The sequence below is a fragment of the Homo sapiens genome, chromosome 4 (assembly GCF_000001405.40).
Source record: "Homo sapiens chromosome 4, GRCh38.p14 Primary Assembly".
Lineage (NCBI taxonomy): Eukaryota > Metazoa > Chordata > Mammalia > Primates > Hominidae > Homo > Homo sapiens.
In genome coordinates this window covers 13548155-13573313 of record NC_000004.12, presented here as the reverse complement: position 1 = coordinate 13573313, position 25159 = coordinate 13548155, and the positions used below count along the sequence as shown (strand labels likewise).

Sequence of the window (25159 nt, the reverse complement as noted above, 5' to 3'; positions counted from 1 at the left end):
TGAGCCTCAAATTGAAAAATACACCAGCTAAACAAGTTCCTTTTTCAGAGTTTTTACTGGAATCAGAATTCCTTATCTGATTCTTGTGCAGTTGACTACTTGGGCCTTAACACTTAGCCTTGTGAATTGTACTTTCGTTAATCTTGGCCCTTTATTCTACCCTGATGAGCTCTTTTGTAATCTTTATTTTGTCGGCCAGTATATTTTCTATTTTTCGCAGATACATCTTTTTTCTAAATCACAATAAAATATCATGCACAGTAAGAACAAAGATAGTGTCACACAAGCAGAGGTAGTTGTAGATGACATTAAGATCGACTTATCAGCAGTGGTCAGGAAAACCAACCATTTTTCTGATTTTAGTTCCTATTGTTCTGACTTGCCCACAAGGAGCCTCATACTTCCTACAGAGTTCCAGGGACTGGAGTATTCAGTGCTACCATTGCCCAGTGTTTCTATAATCTGTTTCAGAAAGCAACATAGCAAGCCATCTGCACGTGCAACATCCAAACTTGGCAGCCCAGACACAGTTTCTCCTAGAAATCGCCAAAAATTAGCAAAAGAGAAGTTACCTACCAGCGAAAAAGTTAGTAACTCTCCCCCATTAGGAAGGTAAGTCCCTGCTTACACTTCAAGCCATTTTTAACCCCCTAAGACTATTTTTGGTACAATAATGCTTTCTTCCTAATTTCCTTTAAGATTTTGTCTCACCAAATAACTGTTTTTGGGGATCATTGGTTTCCAAGAAGAACAGGAAGGGCTGCAGAAGGTGTCTGTGTGGCCTCACCAGTCTGGCCTTGCCGCAGTGGACTGCCACACAGGCTTGTCCTTGACACCTGTGAGCCTTATCTGCCTTCTCCCATCCACCAAGACCAAAGGCAAGGCAGTGTGGTAAAGCATTTAACAGCCCAGAATCATTTCTGTTTTAGCTAGAGCATTGGAGAGGTGATGAGGTGATAAAGCTTCCTCTTTCAGGCACGGCCCCTGCCAGCTTACACCTTTCACTGCAGCCTTACTGGTCTTACTGCTTCCCAGAGGTGGTCCTGAGCCTTCCTTTCTTGCCTTTGCTTGAGCCAGTGAGGAGTGTCCTCACCACCAGCACCCCTAGTAAGTCAGATCCTTTCCGTCCCGCTTCAGCCCATTTTCATCTCTTCTTGCTGCACTTCTGGTCAGTACTGGGCACTTGAGATGCCACATAGCATTGGTTTGGTATATTCCTTTTATTTACCCCTCTGAGCTCTAGGTTTCTTTCTTGAGATAGGAATTTGTCATACTTTCTATACATTATCATATTCAAAAATAAAAGACTCTTCACTGTACACAAAAACTGTTTTGACCTCTTACCACATTTTCATCTTCACAGCATACTTGTATGTATGTGCTGTTTTCCGCACATTCTAGAAACGAAAGCAAACTATAGTGCCAGGCAGTTTCACATACATGCTCTCATTTAACCCTCAGTGAGTGAATTGTAATAGTTACTCTTATTTTATATGTGAGGGAAAGAATCTCAGGAAGGTTTCCATGCATACTACTCAAAATTGAACATGCAGTCAAATCACTTGAGGCTGTTGGTAAAATGCAGATCCTGGGTCTGTAAGTCTAGGCTGGGGCCTGAGAGTTGGCATTTCCAACAAGCTCCTCAGTGACCAATGCCCCTCCTCACAGACCACATTCTGGGTGGACTAGAAGGGCCTGGATAAACTACGAAGCTCACATGGCTGGGGAGAAGCAGCCTGACTCAGAGCTTCTGTTGGCTGCCACTTGGCCCCCAGCACAATACTGCGCACGGCACCTTTACTGAAGAGGTGTTCATTGAGTGGCTGGTGGCTTTCCATGGAAACAGTTTGAAATGGATTATCAACAAACACATTTTCAGTCATTGTCAACACATGTCAAAACCACATCATCTGCAACAATTTTTGACTCAGTTTATTTACTTTTGCTGTCAAACAAGAAACGGAAGACGTGTCTTCATATCACTAAGAGTCCCATTTCTCCATCTCCTGCAATTTTGGTTTTCCAACTCTTTGATTCATTGACAGGACATTTACTGCCCGCTTGCCATGTGTTGGGCATTGCACTAGGCACTGGAGTTAGAAAAATGAATAAATCTCAGCAGCTGCCCTAGAGAATCATCGTGTCTAATGGGGGAGATATATGTGTATAAGACTTTCAAACTTTTTTGGCAACAACCCACTATAAGAATATTTTGCAATACAGCTGGTGCTCACATTCCTGCTGCTGTAACTGAAACAAAATTTCATGAGTCAAATTTAATAGATGTGATATGAGTGGTATTTTCTGTTGTGTCCTATTAACATGTTGTTTTAAAATATTGATTGTAACTTGCAGTTTGAAAAAACACAGCAGATGAATCACAATGGTAAATGCTGTGGTAAAGACCTAAAGTCTTCATATCAATAAAGTCACATTTCTCTGTGGGGGATTCCAAAGATGGGGCATCTTGCTTTGTGATGTGGAAGGTGCAGGACTACAGGCCCAGATGGTGCACAAGTAGAAGGCAGAACTATAAAAGGCTCTGGATGATTTTCTCCTGAAAGCATCAGAGACCCAAGAGGAACTTCATACATCTCTAGGACAGTAACATGATTAATTGGAGTTTCCAACAAATAATTTTAATCACAGACTATATCAACAGGGTATGCTGGTGATAGGGAGATTGGTTAGAATGTTCTTCTGAAATTCCCGTGCCTTTTCTAACACAGGTATTTTCTGTAATACTGTGCTACGAAACATGATTTTGCACTTGGTCCAACCTAGATTGCAGTCCTGCTGTGTTCTTGCTAGTTGTTTGAACTTGGGACAGTCTGTATATTGGTGGGACCCGCTGTTGATGTCTTTGTTTTCTAGATGAAAGAACTAGGGCCCAGAGAAGGAAGTGGATTTGAGCACCATCAGCACCTAGAGTGTGGTAGAGCTGGAACCAGAGCACAGGCTTCAAACTTCTCTTCCAGTGTCCTGTGTTTGTGTGTGAGGTTGACAGCAAATAACCAGTTAGTTCAAGCTCTTCGCGAGGTAGCTCCTTTTCATGTATAAATGTTACTGGGTTTTTCTCTTCTTAGCTGTCAAGTTCAAAACTCTTCTGTTTTTTAAGGAACTCCCAAGTTATTTGAAGCAGCTGCTTTTAAACCTCACCATTGCCTTGACTTTGCTTAATGCAGATCAAAGACACAGCTCTCCCCTTCTATCAAGCGCAAGAGAGAAGTCAGCCCTCCTGGGGCCCGAACAAGAGGCCAGCAAAGGGTGGAGGAAGCCCCTGTGAAAAAAGCGAAGCGATAATCCTGACCACTGCTGCCCTAGGCTTATGGAGGAACACGGTGGAGAGGAAAGAGACATGCCTTGGTGGCCATAGGCTTCTCTTTAACCAGGAAAAAGATATGCATGTGCTGTAAGTCCCTAGGTGCAAGCTTTTTCTTGTTATGTTTTAAACAGCTTTATAAACTATTGTTCATAGAAGATATTATGTACATTTATTTCAGATAAAGGACAATAAGTTTACTTTGTATCTGAACTCAAAACAAAGTAGTTGTATATTTTAACATTCAAAATTGGGATTTCCCAATGTGACACATCATGAATGCAAACCCCTCCAGCCCATCAGACGCCAGGCTGCCTACTGGTAATCTGTGTATAGTATATAAACATGTAAAAATAGGTTGTATTTTACTCTATGTATGATGCTAATCAATGAACACTTTATTTATTTTACAGAGAAAACTTATCTGTGAACTTTACTATATATCTGTTTATTTTACTTTATTTTTTTTTTAAATAAAAAGGGTTTTAAATGCTATGCAGTCATTAGTAGAAAATTTTTTAGGACTCTGCCTGCTCTGTAACTATCTTAATATGATCTGGCAGAAACTCGCATGTATCCAAGTAAAGTAGTTTAGCTAAAGAAAGGTTCTTCATTGCTTTTCTGTTCACAGTTGTGGCTCTGTTTTTTAAGAATGTAACTTGTTTTTAGATTATACTTGCATCTGTGACTTTACTACCAGCCACGTTGACACAAAACAGGTTCTGGTTCAGGTAAAGTTGCGTCAGTCACCTGCAGCAGAAATCCCTCTTCATTCCTCTTCTCTGTGTTCATTCCTCTTCTGTGCTGTTCTGAAGCTTCTACCAATACTCTTTCCATATTGTCTTTTTCAGTGAAGAGAAATGCATTCAAGATTAGGTCCCTCCTGTCTATCCAGTTTCAGGATTTTATGTTGTTTTATACACAGTTATTTCAGTATAGAAACTGGCTTTATTGCCAAGTGTTTTTTTAAACATGTTTTAACTCTCATATGAGCAAACTGTCCAACTTCAGTTTTTCATAAGATTAAACTTCTTACGATCAAATTTGTCTCTTGCAATGATGTGATGAGTTGCCAAATAATTGAGATTATTTTAAAATGTTTTGTTCATATTCTTGTTTTATAATTAAAATTTACATTCAGTGTGTATGGGTTTTTTTTTTTATTTTGACTCTTAATGTAAGGTGGATATTTCTGTCATTTTACATGGTTTCTTACTGAGATTTTATATATAAATTATAAAATGTTTACCAAAATTTGAGTGGTAAGAATTTTATTTGTGTGTTTTAAAATGTGTCTGCATGAAAACCATTTCTTCTCTCTAAATAATTGGTCTTAGCTGTATCATTCCATGCTCACATTCAAATTTGAGTCAGTGATGGCCTTTCTCAGTAGAACTGAACTCGGTAGAACTGAACTTGGAAGAACTGAACTTTAGATCCAGAAAGGCCATTAGAGATGAGGAACATGAGAGTTTCTCATTTTTATGTATATGGATGATTTTTAACCAAAACTCAAAAATCTAAAGTGATTTGTCTTAAAAGTAAGAAATGCAAATCAAAGCCACAGTGATGTACCATCTCACACCAGTTAGAATGGCTTTTATTAAAAAGTCAAAAAATAACAGATGTTGGCGAGAAAAGGGAATGCTTATACACTGTTGGTAGGACTGTAAATTAGTTCAGCTCTTGTGAAAAGCAGTTTGGAGATTTCTCAAAAAATTAAAATTAATTACCGTTTGACCCAGCAATCCCATTACCAGGTATATGCCCAAAGGAAAGTAAATTGTTCTACCAAAAAGACATCTGCACTTACATGTTTATCACAGCACTACTCACAATAGCAAAGACAAGGAATCAACCTAGGTGCCCATCAACAGTGGATTGGATAAAGGAAATGTGGAACATACACACCATGGAATTCTCTGTAGCCATAAAAAGGAACAAAATCACGTCCTTTACAGCAACACTGATGCAGCTGCAGGCCATTATTCTAAGTGAATTTACTCAGGAACAGAAAACCAAATCTAAAATACAAAATATAAGTAAAAAATGTAAAAAGTAAAAGGGTAGAAGCTGAACTAGTTTCCAAGGTTCCTGATTCCTTTGGTCACAGTCTTTGCACTGTCAGTTTTAGATTGGTTCACCAGGAGTGCATGCTGAAATTGCAGTCTTACTGTGACACTGATGTTATTCAGTTTAGTAATGGCTGCTGTGGGCATGACCCTATAGGGACCGAGTAGTTGGAGTGTGAAGAAATGCTGCCTCTCGATAAAACTGGAACTAAATCGTGGAAATAAATGAAAAATTTTATGATGGGGAAGTCAGTTAGACCACATACCTTCCAATGGTTCTAATACAAGACTTTGGAAACAGGTGGAAGCAATTCTTAGTCATCACAATGATTTGCTACCACTAGTATCGAGCAGAAGGAAGGAGGTCAGGAATGCCAAACATCCTGCAATTTACAGGACAGTCCCTGACTCCAAAAAAAATATCCAGCCTAAAATCCAGTAGCTTCCACTAACTCACTGAGAAGCACTTGCAGACCATCTCCAGATTTGACATTTCTCAGGCCTTGGCTTGTTACCACTGCCACTGCCTCACTGCTTCTCCATGAGCAACCTGAACAAGAGCCCATCTGCTCTTCCCAACCCGGAGTTGAGACAAGGCTAGGAGGATCACACAAGACTTAGTGAAGGCAGCAGCATGCCCTGTGACTGAGGGCGATGTGGCTTACAACGATGGCCGGTTCCTCCTCAGTTGAAGTTGGTCATCCACAACCACAATCCTTCCCTGCCTGTTTCAGGCCTCTTTCCTCAGGGTGGTACCACTTGACCCCTACGACCTAGACTTTACTTAAATACTAGAATCTACTGACTGAGGTTTACCATAACCACACCAATTAGGAATGGCCATCAGGTAACACTCCTCTTCCCAATGAGATCTCATGGCAAGTTGGTGGCAACACAGACTGAACTCTTTGTCTTCCAACCCCCAGGCCAGGGCTCTTTATATGAAAGCCCACGGGAGGGAGGCATTGATCTTTCCACCTCAACGGCAAGCTCACTGCTCTTAGGACCATAATATATCAGAGCCCTTCCCCAAATATCTCTGCCAATGATAAAACCTAACTGATTTGAGGTCAGAGGGAGATAGTTCTAACTAGAAGAAATGCTGGAAAAGGTTGCTTTTTTATTTTTTGGTTTTTTGGATTTTAGGATGTCTTGTTCATCATTTGTACAAGAGTACCTTACATTTACTAAAATTACTGTGTAGCCATCTTTGTATGACTTAAATCAAGAACAAGATGCTTTTCAGAATACACTGACAGATACTGTTCTCAGGGGAAGAAAATAGTTCTAGAACCAGCACTTTTCCCACTGAAACTGCTGTGCTGGGAAAGGACACATTTGTTGAGCTACTACTCTGCCCAGCACTAGGGACTCAAATGTTGGCTCAAGTCTCAAGGGCACAACCTCATGAAGCAAACAGCTGGGCTGCACTTGCATTGTCACAGAACAGCAAACGGGAGAAGAATACCTTCCTTAGAGAAGCAGGACAAAGGACTAACTCCTGGCAGATCAAGGGAGGAGTTTATTTTTAAAAGTCTAAAATGGAGTTTCAAGCAAGGTTGGAACCTAAAGAGAGTATTTTAGAAGCTGAAGAGCGGGGACGACTGGAGACAATAATGGATGCCATTTTTACCAGTAAGTCAACCTTTCAGAAACTTCCTGGAGGAAGATACAGACAATACTATCAATATATCTTGGCATTACACAAAACACTAGTTCCAAGAGATGCTTCCTCACGATAGCCCTTCTTGGAAGTTCATTGTGCACATTAGCAAATATAAATTCTAAGAAATTATGAGAGGAATCAGGTTAACTTTGTTGAACCCAGAATTTTCCAAGGTTATTAAACCTTAGAATACCTGCTTTCTTTCCCTAAACCACACACACAGAAACTTAACATCCATGGAAACTGATGTTGCACAAAACTTTGAAAACCCTTAAGAGTTTCAGAATAGCCCTGTGAAAGAGTATCATACACCCAATTTCATAGTTGGGAGAATTTAAGCACAAGGCCGTTACATAGCTTGCTTAAGAACATACATATGAAGCATAACTAGGATTGGAACCAAGGTCTTGTTTGAGGATATCCTCCACTTCATTCACCTAGCTAATGCCCACAACAGATCTAAGTGGAAACAGCTTTCCCTTGACATTCTCTTGGAATATGTTTGATTTAAAAAAAAAAAATAGTAGCGGGCATGGTGGCTCACACCTGCAATCCCAGCACTTTCGGAGGCCAAGGCAAGCGGATCACTTGAGGTCAGGAGTTCGAGACCAGCCTGGCCAACATGCCAAAACCCCATTTCTTATGAAAATACAAAAATTAGCCGGGCGTGGTTGTGCGTGCCTGTAATCCCAGCTACCTGGGAGGCTAAGGTGGAAGGATTGCTTGAACCCAGGAGGCAGAGGTTGCGGTGAGCTGAGATTGCTCCACTGCACTCCAGCCTGGGAGACAGAGGGACACTCCGTCTCAAAAACAAAACAAAACAAAACAAATGTTATAAAATCTTAATTTTAATTATGTGAGCAATGTTTTGATTGTAGAAAATTAAAAATAAACAATAAAGAGGAAAAAAATCACTGGTAGTCCCAAAGTCAGATATTATCACTATTAACAGTCTGATGTGTAATTCTTCCAGGCCTTTTTCTATTTACCTATATGCAGAACTCATATACTACAAATCATTGAATCTAAAATGCTGTTGACTATAAAATGCCCATGCACCATTACTTTGTATACTATTAGGAAAGAGAAACACCGTAACACAAAAATTAATGATATTCTTAATGGCATGCATGAATCAGTTACATCAGCTTGTTGCTTTAAGATGTTTCTCCTCAGTTACAAGGGATTTGGTGATTTCTCCACCTTTAGCTGTATGATTTGTCATGTTTTAGGCAATTCCTTGCATATATCTCAGGAACAAAATGTAACAACATCACCTACTTGTAGATATCTTCCTTTCTTAAGTCACAGAAAGCACTTGGTTGTTGCTTTCTGAGAAAACATAGAATCATACTTATTTCTCCTTTCCAACACTGAATATTGGCCTCATTGATATAAAATGTATTTCTCAGTCCTGTGACTTTCCAAGTATACAGTAACTCTGTTTTGATGCCAAGTCATACTCTAACCTTTTAAAAAACTGTAATTGGTGTTTAAAATCAAAGGATCTAGAACCAATGATACACATAATTCAGTTGAAGTGATATATGAATAGTTAGGAACAATATCAAGCATGGCAATGACAACTATATCATAATTGTCACTTGTTCAATAGCAATTTCAAGACACATTCTAACTTCAGAGCTGTTAAAATACAGGGGAAAAAGCTGCCTTTGAATTGATGAAATAGTAGATTCTTTTTTACATAAATGAGATTTTACATATCTACCTTTTTGCCCTTTTAAAAAATATGTCCATCCCGGGGCCGGGTGCAGTGGCTTATGCCTGTAATCCCAGCACTTTGGGAGGCCGAGGCGGGCAGATCACGAGGTCAGGAGATTGAGACCATCCTGGCTAACATGGTGAAACCCCGTCTCTACTGAAAAAAATAAAAATAAAATAAAATATGTATGTCCATCCCTTATCCCAATTGTACCACTCTTTTTCCCCCTCAAGATTACTACCATTCTAAATAAAGGTTTATTATTTTATAGCTGTTTATCAGTTTTACTACATACGTATATATCCCTAACAATATATTCAGTTTTAAATTTTTTTGCTTTCCAAATAGAATCATTTTTTGGATCATTTGAGACTTGCTTTTGTCTTCTACATTATGTTTTAAAATTCATCTATGTTAATATGTATAGCTCCAGTTGGATTCATTTTCACTGCTGTATAGTATTCCATTGAAGGAAAAAAAAAATATATATATATATATTATCTCAGTATACTAAGCCATTCACCTCTTACTGGTCCTTGGATTATTCACAGATTAATTTGCTTTGTTTTAAACATTTTTATGAAGCTTCTCTATGGTACAGTTTCCTAAACTTACAAATTTTGTGGTACATATAGAAAGTGGTATTTGTAGGCACAGGATATAAGTGGAAGGACCAGGCTGGTTGCTGCCTAAAGAGACTATCAGCCTGTTAACCAGAAAAGCAGGCCACTCAGCTACTTTGAAGCTAGGGAATTAAAATATCTTTACACCTGCATCCATTCTTTGCACTAAGATATATACAGCTTTCTGCTCCATGGTACAACTGCTAATTCCTAGGATAAGCATATTTTCCGTTTTGGAAAATAATGCCAAAATTTTTCCCAGATGCTTGTACCATATTGTACTCATACCAGTAGTGTTTAAAAATTACTTCGCTTTCGAATATTGAGCAGTACAGGACTTCTTGATTTTTGCCTATCTAGTAGGGATAATATATCTCATTGTGGCCTTTATTTGCATTGGTTACAAGAAGGTTGAGCATGCTTTCATGTGCTTATTTTCCATCCTTATTTCTTCTTCTGTGAAATGCCGGTTCATGGTTTTTGTCTATTTTTCCATTTGGTTATTTGTGTTTTCCTTATCAACTTTTAGGAGTTCTTTATATATCTTTATATATTCAGGATATTAATCCTTCATGTATATGTGTTGCAAACATATCCCTCCCCCAAACACACACACACACACACACACACACACACACAAACACACACGGCTTATGTTTTCACTTTCTTTATGGTACTTTTTGATGAATGATTTTTAATTTTAATGTAATTGATATAAATTTAGTCTTGTGGCCAGCTTTTTTTGAGTCCTAAAGACTTAAGATCAAATAGATATTCTAAAAGTTTTAATGTTTTGCCTCACATTTAGTAGACAGAGAGGAAAGGAAGAGCTTTGGCAGCAAGCCAAGTATATAAAAGAATCTATGTCAAACTCTCCCAGGTACCCCTAGATACTAAAAGATGGTCCAAGGCCAGAAGGCATCTTGCTGAAGACAACTGTCCACCTGTTTCTTGAGTCCTCCTCATGCAGTCTGGACTGGCTGCCATCTCATCCTGGAGGCTCCTCTAATCATTGTCCTAGGGTTACCCTTCACTTCTCTTCCCATTGGATCTCTTAATACCTGTATCCTATGTCTTCCTCTTGCTTGTGTACTCCTGTATTTTACTGAAGCACCTGTAGCATTCTGAGCAAAGGTCTATGCAATAGCATAAAGGATTAACTGTTAAATCAGACTCTTGAATCAGAGATCTTACCCAGCATCAAGCTTTACAAATAAGTTCAAGGATATAAGTAGTTGCTAGGCACAAGTGAAGCACACAGGTCCAAGCTAGCCAACTTATTGCCAGGCCCTTTCTCATCAGGATACACATGTGCCTAGATTAAAACCTGAGGTCTCAAAAAAAAATCTGGAGCTCCATTACTTAGAAGAAAGCCATTTCAGTCACAGAACTTCTCTATTCAGATGGTTATATAACTTGTGTGATACTTTCCAGGGAGCCATGTCCCACATATAAATAGATTCTAAGGGATTTTATTTGGTTTTTTGTTACCATAAGCAATTCTGAACAGACAGGTATATCTTGCTAAAAGCATTTCATAAGTGCCAACTCTCCTACTAGTAAACACGACTAGCTGTTTTCCTGGAGGTCTATCATTATTAGCAAGTTTACAAGGATTCGTAACTAAAGGTCACCTTTCTTTCAGAGGGGTGTACCCCTGGTATTGGATGCAAGGCCTGATTCTAACTATATTCATGTTACCATATTATAGGAAATAAATTTTGGACCTTGTTTCAGTTATGGTCCAGTCAGTTATTAGAAACTGCACCAGCTATTTGAATAAATAACTGCTGTTTATTTTAATGTGTCCTCCAAAGTTCATAGGTTGGGAACTTCATCCCCAGTGCAACAGTGTTGAGAGGTGGGACATTTAAGAGGTGATTAGGTCATGAGGGCAATGGATTAATGTCATTAACATGGGAGTAGGTTCGTTATTGTGAGAGTGGGTTTGTTATAAAAGCGAGTTCAGCCCCCCTCTTGCTAGCTCATGCTCTCTTTCCTTTCTGCCTCCCACTTTCCATCAAGAGATGACTCAGCAAAGAGGCCCTTGAAAGATGCCAACCCTTTGATCTTGAACTTCCCAGCCTCCAGAACGATAAGTAAATCTCTGTTCTTTACAAAGTACCCAGTCTGTGGTATTCTATTATAGCAGCACAAAATGGATTAAGACAATCATTTAATGGGAACTAGTTAAATAGCTATTAGAGAACTAAGAGGGGAAACGGTAACACTGATATAATACAGAGTTATTTCTGAAAGCAACCAGGACTATCTCCGGGCTTGGAGAACAGAAAGAAAAAAATTGAGGTTATTAGAAGTTTGAAGGAGAAGCTCCAGGGCTGGGATTTAGAACCTAAGGAGAGGTGCTACCCAGATAGTGCTGGTTATCTTTGAGAGAGGACAACGTGGCTTGTCCTAGGAGAGTGGGTGGAAAATTGGAAACTGGAACAAAGTGCAACTGCCATCATCTGCCATTACTGAGATGAAGAACTATTGCTGGAGTGATGCTAACAAAAGAGTGACCAAACAAGAAATAAGACGTCTTTTCAACCTCAGCCTTCTGGACTTCTTCAGCATCCCCTATTGACTGAACTTAACAGTGGTCCTGCTGGCTAGGGAGAAATCTGGCTTGCAGAATCCCAATCCTAGCACTGTAAAGCAGAATACAGAAGAGTGAGTTTGGAGTTAAGAGACAATAGCTTAACAATCAGCACAGCCACACTTCTGACTCTTCTCATCTATCCCATCTTTCAATACATATTTCAACTTCAATATAACAAGAACAACCTGTGGCGGCCAGGCACGGTGGCTCACGCCTGTAATCCCAGCACTTTGGGAGGCTGAGACGGGCAGATAACGAGGTCAAGAGATTGAGATCATCCTGGCCAACATGGTGAAACCCCATCTCTACTAAAAATACAAAAAGTAACCGGGCATGGTGGTGTGCACCTGTAGTCCCAGCTATTTGGGAGGCTGAGGCAGGAGAATTGCTTGAACCTGGGAGGCAAAGGTTGCAGTGAGCCAAGATCATGCCACTGCACTCCAGCCTGGTGACAGAGGAAGACTCCATCCAAAAAAAAAAAAAAAAAAAAAACCTGTGGCTAGTGGATATCGCTTATTCTTTAGTAAACCCAGCAGTGCACATTAAGTGTGCAATTCAAGTATGTAATTAATCCAGCATATGGGTGTTTCGCTGCAGTAGGGTCATTATAAGTACCTAATATTGCCATGCTATGTAAAGTGGAAACTCCAAATACATTTTCCAAATTCTCCAGAAATCATTTGTGTCCTCATTTGCTCAGTTTACATCTGAAGGATCAGCTTCTCAATTAGCTTTTAAGTAATGCATTCCTTATGACCACTAGTAGAATTTGTTCAATGCTGTTTTAAAAAATGTCATTGATATGGTTTGGCTCCGTGTCCCCACCCAAATCTCATCTGAAATTGTAATCCCCACAATCCCCACCTGTCAAGGGAAGAACCTGGTGGGAGGTGATTGGATCATGGAGGTGGTTTCCCCCTATGCTGTTCTCATAATAGTGAGTGAGTTCTCATGAGATCTGATGGTTTTATAAGTGTGTGACTGTTCCTCCTACACATGCTCTCTCGCACCTGCTGCCACATAAGACGTGCCTGCTTCCCCTTCTGCCATGACTGTAAGATTCCTGAGGCCTCCCCAGCCATGCAGAACTGTGAGTCAACTAAACCTCTTTCCTTTATCAATTACGCAGTCTCTGGTAGTATCTTTATAGCAGTGTGAAACAGGTTAATAAAGTTATCCTTTCCAAAATTAGTCGTTCTTATTTGAAGACACCAACTTGTCAGTCTTCAATGAGTCTTACTTAAAATAGTTAAACTTTTTTTTTTCAGCCAAAAATAAGTACAAGAAGAGCTTCCCTTTCCTTCTTTGAACATTGATGTTAATTTCATCCTTGTCATTTTGGGTTCTCCGGCTCTTCAAAAAATTATTTTCCAGTAAACACTGATGGAGTGTCAGAGGATATAACTGATCATTTCTAATTCCTAAAAGTAAATCGATGGGAACCTACTGGGCCCCTACTTCCTTCGGACCCAAATGCAGACTGACTTTAAAGAGATGACTTGGACAGAGGTGCCTTTGCTTGTCCTTTTGATGCTTCACTCACAACTCTTTTTGACTTTACAGGAAACACACATCCCCATCCCCACTTCACCTGCATTTGTGTAAGGATTCCTCTGAAGGCTCCTCAGACTTCCTCCTTTGACAGTTGCCAGGACAGCTCCAACCCATCTGTTCATCTGACATTCCATTAAGCCCGTGCGTTACCACAATATCCTGTTTTTCCCTTCCTGTTTCTAGCCACACTTACTCAGATGGAATGACAGAGTTTGCTGCAAATTCCTTGACATAAATCTCTCCAGTGAGCTCTCTCCCCTTACCTTAAGCCTTTTTTTTTTTTGAAAGCACAGCCCTCTGGCCCTTTCTCTTTCAAATCCCAGTCCAAAATATCCCATAATGGAAATAAACATCTCCAAGTTAGGCCCCAGAATATGATTTAACAACAACAAAAGAAACTAAAATACGCTATTCGTGCTAAAAGGCTGAGGGAACAGCAATGTTACTTAGAATGATGGCGAGTTAACACACATTTCACAGAGCTAGCTGTTTTAGCAGGGATCCTAATGTAGTGACCATGATCAGGGTGAAAGGGAGCAAATCACTTGACCTCTCTACCTCTCAGAAATTCTGATACCTGCCCTGCCAATCTCATGGGGTTGTATTGAGGGTAAAATAAGACCATTCATTTAACAAATATTTGCTAAGAGCCTACCATGTGCCAGGCCCATTCTAGGCCCTAGGGACGTGACAGTTGAGTCATCTAAAACATTGCATTTATGAACTTCCATCATATGGTTGCATGTAGATTTAGACTGGTTGTTCTCATTGCTATATAATATCCTATTCTGTGAGTATACCACACTTGATTTATCCATTCCACTGTTGAGCATTTGCATAATTTCCAGATTTGGAGCTGTTATCAAAAAATGAGGCTATGAACATTCTGGCATATGTCTTTTGGTGAACTTATGTATGCATTTCTGTTGTGTCAATTCTCTTTTAATCTGGCTAATCATGTCAAAGGAAGGTCCAGGTTGGTGCTAGCATTCGGTGACATCTCTGTAGCCCTTGTCAATGTGTCCTTATAACAAATAGCCAACTTCATGTCCAGAGCCTTCAGCATCACACTGTAGCTAGCTAGAGATTGTAAACACTGTTTTATTTATTTAGTTAGTTTTGAGATCGGATCTTACTCTGTCACCTAGACTGGAGTGCCATTGCTTGATCTTGGCTCACTGCAGCCTCGAACTCCTGGGCTCAAGGGATCCTCTAACCTTAGTCTCCCAAATAGCTGGGACTAAAGGCACGTGCCACCATGCCCGGCTAATTTTTTTTTTTTTTTCTTTGAGATAGGGTCTCGCTATGTTACCCAGGCTGGTCTCGGATTCCTGACTGCAGGCAATCCTCCCAATGTGCAGGGATTACAAGCGTGAGTCACCACACCCAGCCCCAAACATTGTTTGGTCTGCATTTTTTTTTTCTTTTTAGAGTCGGCGGTCTCACTCTGTCATCCAGGCTGGAGAACAGTGGTGTGATCATAGCTCACTGCAGCCTCAACTTCCTGGACTCATGAAATCCTCCCATCTTAGCCTCCCGAGTATCTAGGAATACAGACACAGACCACCATGTCTGGCTAATTTTTATGCCTTTAGAGATGAGGTCTTGCTATGTTGCCCAGACTAGTATCAAATTCCTGGCCTCAAGAAATCCTCTTGCCTTAGCCTCCTGAGTAGCTGGGATTACAGGCACAAACCGCCTCCTCCAGCTTGCTTTATTTATAAGATTAAATTACATATGGCAAGAGATTAATTGTACTCTATTTACTTATTATTTATAAATATATCTATATTACTCATACGTTATTTATATAAAGGTTCCTTAGGAAATAAGTTCTTATCAGACTTAACAGCAAATTAGAGATGGCAGAAAAAAGAATCAGTAAACTTGAAGGTATATCAATTCATCTGGCAGTTTTTAAAAGTAAGTCATTTAAAAAGATCCATCTGTCTCACCTTCTCAAGGATTTTGCTACTGCAATTTTCTCTTCTGTCCTGGATTATCAATTGTCACTCTCTATTGGCTTACTTACTAGCATGTATAACAGTATATTATAGTATCTTCTATCTAAAAATAAATCTCTAGAAGCAGGATCCCCTCCATCTTCCATCTCACTGCTTTGCTCCTCTTCATGCCAAATTCTTTAAAGAGTTACCTGTATTCACTAACTCTGCTTCTACCTGTACTATGTTCTCCTCAATGCATTCCAATCTGATATGCTCCCTTCACTCTGCAAGATGGTTTCTATCAAGGTGACCAATAACGTCCATTTGACCAAACCCAAGGGCCATTTCTCTATCACATTGCTTGACAGCAGCACATTTTACCACTGATCATTCTCTCCTTATGGCAACAGTTTCCGGTCTCAGCTTCCTCAAGTTCCAACCTCCCCTGGTTCTTCCTACAAAACTAATGATTCCTTCCCAGTTCCTTTGGGTGAATGTCCCTCTACTAACAAATCTGTAAATGTTGAAAGACCCTGGTTCCTGCACCTGTAGTTCTCTCTGGCCAGGCTACAATCATTTTCCTAGGTGACCACATCCAGTTCTATCAATATCACCTATCATCTTAGTGCTCCCAGATTTATATTTCTAGCATTGAACTTTTCTTGAAATGTCATTTTCACTGCTGATTATTTTACACCTCCAAATGGATGTCTAATAAGCTTCTCAGACATAATACATCCCAAACTGAACACCTGCCTCCCACCCTCGCTCCCACCAAGTCTTCTCAGGTCTTTCCTACCTAGATCAATAGTACCACTACTCACCCAATCTCCTAAGTCCAAATCCAGGAGATACCTTGGATCTCCCAGAGTGAAGGACTCTTTCCCTCATCTCCATCTAATCTATCTAGTCCTTCAAGAATACTGACAACTCACAGAATGGGAGAAAAGATTTGCAAACTATGTATCTAATAAATGATCAACATCCAGAATATATAAAGAATTCCTGAATCTCAACAACAAAATAATAAACAACTAAATTCAAAAATGAGCAAAGGCATCATCACTGGCCATCAGAGAAATGCAAATCAAAACCACAATGAGATACCATCTCACACCAGTTAGAATGGCGATCATTAAAAAGTCCGGAAACAACAGGTGCTGGAGAGGATGTGGAGAAATAGGAACACTTTTACACTGTTGGTGGGACTGTAAACTAGTTCAACCATTGTGGAAGACAGTGTGGCAATTCCTCAGGGATCTAGAACTAGAAATACCATTTGACCCAGCCATCCCATTACTGGGTATATACCCAAAGGATTATAAATCATGCTGCTATAAAGACACATGCACACATATGTTTATTGTGGCACTATTCCCAATAGCAAAGACTTGGAACCAACCCAAATGTCCATCAATGATAGACTGGATGAAGAAAATGTGGCACATATACACCATGGAATACTATGCAGCCATAAAAAAGGATGAGTTCATGTCCTTGGTAGGGACATGGATGAAGCTGGAAACCATCATTCTCAGCAAACTATTGCAAGGACACAAAACCAAATGCTGCATGTTCTCACTCATAGGTGGGAATTGAACAATGAGAACACTTGGACACAGGAAGGGGAACATCATACACTGGGGCCTGTTGTGGGGTGGGGGGAGGGGGGAGGATAGCATTAGGAGTTATACCTAACGTAAATGACGAGTTAATGGGTGCAGCACACCAACATGGCCCATGTATACATATGTAACTAACCTGCACATTGTGCACACGTACCCTAGAACTTAAAGTATAATAAAAAATAAAAAATAAAAGAAAAAAATGAGCAAAGGACTTGAATAGACGTTTCTCCAAAGAAGATATACAAATAGCCAAAAAGTACATGAAAAGATGCTCACCATCACCAGTCATTAGGGAAATGCAAATTAAAACCACAATGAGATGCTCTTCATAATGATTAGAATGACTGCTATCACAAAAACAGAAAATAACAAGTATTTTGGTGAGGAAGTAGAGAAATTAAAATCCTTTTGCACTGCAAATGGGAATGTAAAATGATACAGCCGTTATAAAAACAGTATGGAGGTTTCTCAAAAAATTAAAAATAAAATTATATGATCTAGCAATTCCATTTCTGAGTACATATCCAAAAGAACATTAAGCAGGATCTCTAAGAGATATTTTCACACACATTTTTATTGTAGCATTATTCAGAACAGCCATAGGAGGGAACTAGATCAGAACCTGAATACTAGCAGGCAGGGACCACTGGGGGCCATTTTGGAGGCTGGCTACCATACGAGGTACCTCCATTTTATAAATGAGAAAATTAAGGCTTAGAATATTTACGCAATTTGTCCAAGGTTGCATAGCTATTAAGTGGTGCCATTATTACATAATTATAATGTATTCAGCAACTTATTTTCCTTCATAAATGGATGTAAGATTATAGAATGTAAAACTTCTTTAATGTTTCTATCACTTGAATTCTGAAATAGGTCTTTGCTTTAAAACTATAACAAATATTAATTAGGCTAAAAGCAATATATCATTGCAAAAGACTTTTTCAAAGCGCTTATACATATATTATGGCATTTTGAACAACATCACTGGGTTCTAAAATAGAACCCATTTTTCGTTTTTAGGAATCTTTCAAAATTTATTTTAGTTCAACAAAATATCCTAAATGGTAATATTGCAACCTTGCTCCTTCTTTCATTTTGCTGTAAGTTTCCATTCTAATATTTCATATTAATTTACTTTGATAAATAGTGTAGTTAGAAGTCTTAACCCAGTTCATAAACTTTCTTCTCCTCTCCAACCCCACCCCTGGTAACAACCGTTTTACTCTCTATCTCTGTATATTCAATTTTTTTTACGATTCTACATATAAATGAGATAATGCAATAAAAAAAATAAGAATAGCCAAGAAGTAGAAGGGGCATTAATTCAACCCAAATGGATGAATGAGTGAATAAAGTGAATAAAGAAAATGTGATATGTACATACAATAGAATATTATTCAGTCTTCAAAAAGAAAGAAATCCGGCCATATTAATGCTACAATATGAATGAACCTTGAGGGCATTATGGTAACTGAAATAAACCAGTCATAAAAATATAAATACTGTATGATTTCATGCATATGAAATATCTAAAGTAGTCAAACTTATGCAAACAGAAAGTATAAGCTTGGTGGTTGCCAGGGGCTGGGGTGAGAGCGAAATAAGGAGTTGTTGTTCAATGAGTATAGAGTTTCAGTTTTGCAAAATAAAAAAGTTCTAGAGATCTGTTCCACAACAATTTGAATAGGTTCAACCCCACTGAGATGTACACTCAAAAATTGTTAAGATGGTAAATTTTATGTCATATGTTTTCTCCTACCATTAAAAAAATATAAAATAAGAAGCGTTGGGAGGATGTGGAGAAATGGAATCCTTGTGCACTGCTGATGGGAATGCTAAATGCTGCAGCTGCTGCGAAAAATCATATGGTAGTTCCTCAAAAAATTAAACAGAATTATCGTATGATCAAGCAATTGCATTTCTGGGTATACACACACACACACACACACACACACACACACACACACACACACACAGATGAAAGCAGGGTCTCAAAGGGATATTTGTACATCCATGTTCATTGCAGCATTATGTACACTAGTTGAAATGTGAAAGCCACACGTGTCCATTGACAGATGACTGGATAAACAAAATGTGGCATACGTAGAGAATGGAATATTATTCAGCTTTAATATGGAAGGAAATTCTGACACGCGCTACAACATGGATGAACCTTGAAAACATCATGTTAAATGAAATGAGCCAATCACAATAGGACAAATATTCTGTGATTCTACTCATATGAAGTACTTAGAGTAGTCAAATTCATAGAGACAGAACATAGAATAGCGGTTGCCAGGGTCTGGGGAGAGGGGGAAATGGGCAGTTAGTGTTTAATAGGGAAAGAATTTTTTTGCAAGATGAAAATGTTATGGAGATGGATGGCAGTGATGATTGCACAACAATGTACTTAGTTTCTGATGTGCACACTTAAAAATGGTTAAAATGGTAAATTTTATATATATATATATTTTTACTTTTAGGATATTTTAAAAAGAATAGTGCCAAAATAGGTGGCAATTCTGGCCATTCCCTCCATCTCCAATACTACCTAATCCAAGCCACCATCATCTCTTGTTTGGACTCTTGCACGAGCTTCTAGTTTGTCTTCCTGATTTTCCTTTTTTCACCCCACAATCATCTTGTCATAGAAAAGCCAAGGTAATTTTTTAAAAATGTAAATCATAGTCTGGTTCCCCTTTGTGTACAATTTTCCATGGTCTCCCATATACTTAGAATAAAGTTCATGCCCTTCACTGAGGCTTAAAAACCCTGCTTGATCTTGGACTCCAACTCTCATCACTCTGCCTCTCTCCCACTGTCCTCCGGCCACAGGAGCAAGCTGTTATGTCTGTGAGAACACTATGACTGCATCTTAGTCAGCTAGGGTTGCTATAACAAGCATACCATAGACTGGAATCTTAACATTTATTTCTCACAGTTCTGGAGGCTGGGAAGTCCAAGATCAAAGTGCTGGTAGATCCAGTGTTTGGAGACAGATGCTTTCTTGTTGTATCCTCACATGGCAGAGAAAAAGAGAGAGACAGAGACAGAGAGAAACAGATAGATGGGGGAGAGAGGGAGGAAACAAGTTCTCTCTTGTCTCTTCTTGTAGGGGCACTAATCCCACTCATCAGAGCTTCACCTTCATGACCTAATTATACTCTGAAAGCCTTATATCCTAATCCCACCACACTGGGGATTAAGATCTCAATCTATCACTTTGAGGAGAACACTTTCAGCCCATAATGGAGGTTCCCACCTAATGTTTATTGCACTATTTCTTCCTCTCTCTGAAAATCTCTTTCTCAGTCTTCACAAGGTATCTCTTTCAGATTTGAATCTCACCCATGAAAAGTAGCCTTAAGTCACCCTCTATCATATCACTCTGTTTTTTGTTTCTATTTTCATTTTTAGCTTTTCTTTTACATACAGAGGTACATGTGCAGGTTTGTTATATAGGTAAACTCATGTCATAGAAGTTTGTTACACAAATCCGTCACCCACATATTAAGCCTAGTACCCAACAGCTATTTTTCCTGATCCTCTCCCTCCTCCCACCCTCCACCATCAAGTAGGCCACAGTATCTATTGTTCGCCTCTTTGTGCTCATGTGTTCTCATCATTTAGCTCTCACTTATAAGTGAGAACATGCAGTATTTAGTTTTCTGTTCCTGAATTAGTTTGCTAAGGGTAATGGCCTCCAGCTCCATCTATGTTCCCACAAAGCACATGACCTTGTTCTTTTTTATGGCTGTGTAGTATTCCGTGGTGTATATGTACCATATTTTCTTGTCCATTCTATCACTGATGGGCATTTAGGTTGATTTCATGTCTTTCCTATTGTGAGTAGTGCAACAGTGAACATATAGGTCCATATGCCTTTATGTTAGGACAATTTATATTTCTTTGGGTATATGCCCAGTAATGGGATTGCTGGGTCAAATGGTAATTCTATTTTTAGCTCCTTGAAGAATCCCCACACTGCTTTCCACAGTGGCTGAACTAATTTACTCTCCCACCAACAGTGTATAAGTGTTCATTTTTCTCCAGCTTCTGTTTTTTGACTAGTAATAGCCGTTATGACTGGTGTGAGATGTTATCTCATTGTGAGTTTGATTTGCATTTCTCTAATAAGTGATACTGAGCTTTTTTTCATATGCTTGTTGGTTGCATGTATGTCTGCTTTTGAAAAGTGTCTGTTCATGTCCTTTGCCCACTTTTCAATGGAGTGTTTGTTTTTTGCTTGTAAATTTAAGTTCCTTATATATGCTAGATATTAGACTTTTGTCAGATGCATAGTTTGCAAATATTTTCTCCCATTCTGTAGGATTTGCTCTGTTGTTTCTTTACTCTGTTGTTTTGTTTATTCTGTTGATAGTTTCTTTTGCTGTACATAAGCTCTTAAGTTTAATTAGATCCCGTTTGTCAATTTTTGCTTTTGTTGCAATTGCTTTTGGCATCTTCATCATGAAATCTTTGCCCATTCCTATGTTCAAAATTGTATTGCCTAGTTTTCTTCCAGGACTTTTGTAGTTTTGGGTTTTACATTTAAGTCTTTAATCATCTTGAGTTGATTTTTATATGTGGTGTAAGGGAAGGGTCCAATTTTAATCCTCTGTATATGGCTAGCCAGTTATCCCAGTACCGCTTATTGAATAGGGTGTTACTTCCCCATTGCTCATTTTTATCTGCTTTATTGATGATCAGATGATTGTAGGTGTGTGGCCTTATTACTGGGCTCTCTATTCTGTTCCATTGGTCTATATGTCTGTTTTTGTACCAGTACCACACTGTTTTGGTTACTGTAGCCCTGTAGTATAGTTTCAAGTCAGTTAGTATGATGCCTCCAGTTTTGTTCTTTTTGCGTAGGGATCGCCTTGGCTATTCAGGCTCTTTTTTGGTTCCATATGAATTTTAAAATAGTTTTTTCTAGTTCTGTGAAGAATCTCATGATAGTTTAATAGGAATAGCATTGAATCTAGAAATTGCTTTGGGCAGTATAACCATTTTAATGCTATTGATTCTTCCTATCCATGAGCATGGAATGTTTTTACATTTGTTTGTGTCCTCTCTGATTTCTTTGAGCAGTGTTTTGTGGTTCTTATCATAGAGATCTTTCACCTACCTAGTTAGCTGTATTCCTAGGTATTTTATTCTTTTGTGGCAGCTGCGAATGGGATTACATTCCTGATTTGGCTCTTGGCTTGGCTGTTGTTGGTGTATAGGAATGCTAGTGATTTTGGCACATTAATTTTGTCTCTTGAGACTTTGCTGAAGTTGTTTATCAGTTGAAGGAATTTTGGGCAGAGATTATGGGGTTTTCTAAATATAGAATCATGTTGTCTGCAAACAGGGATAGTTTGACTTCTTCTCTTCCTATTTGGATGCCCTTTATTTCTTTCTATTACCTGATCACCCTGGCCAGGACTTCCAATACTACGTTAAATAGGAGAGGTGAGAGAGGACATCCTTGTCTTATTCTGATTTTCAAATGGAATGCTTCCAGCATTTGCCCATTCAGTATGATGTCAGCTGACATCACTCTTTTTAAATTTTCTTCATAGTATTTATTACCACCTGATGTTTTTTTCATTGTTTTGTTTAGGCATTTGTCTATTTATAGGTGTTCTTCCAACAGAATGTAGCCTGTGGAGAGTAGGAGTTTACAAGACCTTGAACTACAGATCCTAGAATAATGCCTAACACAAAATAAGAACTAGCTGGAAATTTCCCAAGGAGAACTTGGCTTAGCACTGCAAGGGCTTTCAGAATAGTGTTTTAGAGAAAAAAATATATAATAAATCCAGAAGACTTTCATTTTGTTTCACAAGCATCTGAAACTCAGCACAAGCAATTGACCACAGCATGTTTCTCTTTACCTATTCAAGCTGGCTCCTCCCCCTGCTCTCCTCCTCAAGCCCCCGAATACAAATGCCATCCACCCACTGTCAAATAGACAACCTAAATAAGAAAATAAAACCCTTCCAGGCGCGGTGGCTGTAATCCCAGCACTTTGGGAGGCTGAGGCGGGCGGATCACTTGAGGTCAGGAGTTCGAGACCAGTCTGGCCAATGTAGTGAAACCCCTTCTCTACTAAAAATACAAAAATTAGCCAGGCGTGGTGGTGCATGCCTGTGGTCCCAGATACTCAGGAGTCTGAGGCAGGAGAATCGCTTGAACCCGGGAGGCAGAGGTTGCAGTGAGTCGAGATTGTGCCACTTCACTCCAGCTTGGGTGAGAGAGTGAAACTGAGGTTTGTTTTCAGTGCCGGAAATTTCTGATCTTTAGGGTGAAATACCTCAGTTTCTATCATGAATAAATTAGTTTCTAAAAAACCATTCCTAGCCGGGTGCGGTGGGTCACGGCTGTAATCTCAGCACTTTGGAAGGCTGAGGTGGGCGGATCACCTGAGGTCAGGAGTTGGAAACTAGACTGGCCAACACGGTGGAACTCCATCTCTACTAAAAATACAAAAATTAGCCAAGCGTTGTGGCGGGCACCTGTAATCCTGGTTACTCGGGAGGCTGAGGCAGGAGAATCACTTGAACCCGGGAGACGGAGGATGCAGTGAGCCGAGATTGCGCCATTGCACTCCAGCCTGGGTGACAAGAGTGAGACTCCATCTCAAAAACAAAAACAAAAACAAACAAAACAAAACAAAACAAAACATTCCTTTGGCGCCAATAAAACACACAGGGATGCCTGTGCCCTAAATGATCATCCAGCGAGAGCTCTGGTTATATACTCACAGCAAGCAGCTGTGGAATGCAGGATAGGGTAGGAGGTGGGCCAGGGGCTTGCTGTGGCCTCCGTTCTGAAACCGATCCCAACACGCCCGCGTCCTGCTCCAGTCCCTTCCCCTTGGCCCTGGAGCGAGGTGAGTCTTCAATGGAGGTGTTGATCGTGCCTGGGTGAGTTTTTAAAATGAAACATCTCCGCTGTTAGATCTCTGGCAGCGCGAGGCTGTGTACACGAAACTAGAAGCAAAACAGTCCGTTTCGTGTACTACTTATTCCAGTACCTCCCCATAAAAGTACGCACAACCCTAGAGGGATGCCCGCTAGGTGGCGCTCGTCCTCCACCATACCCAGGAGGGTTCGAGGCTGGCACGTCTTTTTAACACCCTGAGGGGTGATCTCCAACCCTGGCTTTTTAGGTAAGAAAACTAAGCCCCAAAGAGGGTCTTGCGTGAGGTCGCTTGGCTACGTCTCAGAACCGCGCGCACAATCTGGTTTCTGAACCTAATGAGTTTCCATCACCTGGCTGTCTCCCTCTACACACGGTTTAGTTTGTTGATTATAATAAAATGGTGTGTTTCCTTCTTTCTACACAACGAGGTTTACGTTCAGATCCGCAGGCCTTGGTGTGATTTGTTTTCAAATGCGTGGAACAGAAAAAAAGTCATTAGATTTGTCTGACTAAATTTTTTCTTTGATTACCTTAAATCCGAACGAAGCTCCTTTTCCAATGAATAAGCAATTAAAAATGGGTAAGGTCTATGATGGGAAACAATTAATAAGGTTAATGAGAAAAGCCGATTAGAGTAGAAAATCCAACTGGATTTGACATCAGACAAAGCCTGATTTAAATCCTGACAGCCACTTACTGATAGTCAGGAGTCTCAGTTTCTTCATCTGTAAAACGGGCATAACAATGTTTTCTACTCATTCCAATCCCAGGGGTGTGTACATTCAATGAAACAATAGGCTTTGGTTCCTGGCACACTGTCAGTGAGCAATATTTGTTAAAATATAAAACTACCTTTTATATTATTATTTATAGTATTATAAGCTGGCCAGTTACAATACAGCCTCTCTCTGCAGTCTGATATATTTTGATCGTGTGCATGAAAAACGCTGCAGGGCGCTGGATTACTCAGGAACGCAGGCGCGGGTGCTGGACGCTTGGGATGCTTAGGCGGTTTGGATCGCCCTCGGGAGTCTGCGGATTGGGACCGACGGTCAGTGCTGGGCGCGACCTCTGCCTGGACCTGGCTCTGGGGAGCCGGCAACGCTGC

The 25159-nt window shown here is 39.7% G+C and overlaps 1 protein-coding gene across 10 annotated transcripts in view, besides 1 other annotated feature; it reads left to right on the top strand.

Moving 5' to 3' along the window:
• BOD1L1 (biorientation of chromosomes in cell division 1 like 1) overlaps nt 1-4576 on the top strand; it is a 58988-nt gene extending 54412 nt beyond the window's left edge. For 5 of the 10 annotated variants that reach the window (XM_005248151.4, XM_006713958.4, XM_005248150.4 and 2 more), the window contains 2 exons: nt 472-612; nt 3186-4576. In XM_005248151.4, coding sequence (XP_005248208.1) covers nt 472-612; nt 3186-3303 — 259 coding nt within the window. In that variant the 3' untranslated portion in view covers nt 3304-4576. The other 5 variants (XM_017008010.2, XM_017008009.2, NM_148894.3 and 2 more) reach the window with 2 other exon arrangements.
• Nucleotides 24015-24309: an enhancer, noted in NCBI's record as "tiled region #12016; HepG2 Activating DNase unmatched - State 4:PromP, and K562 Activating DNase matched - State 4:PromP". NCBI's record gives its function as "activates a minimal TATA promoter and a strong SV40 promoter by Sharpr-MPRA in HepG2 and K562 cells {active_cell/tissue: HepG2 | K562}" and the evidence as "EXISTENCE:reporter gene assay evidence [ECO:0000049][PMID:27701403]".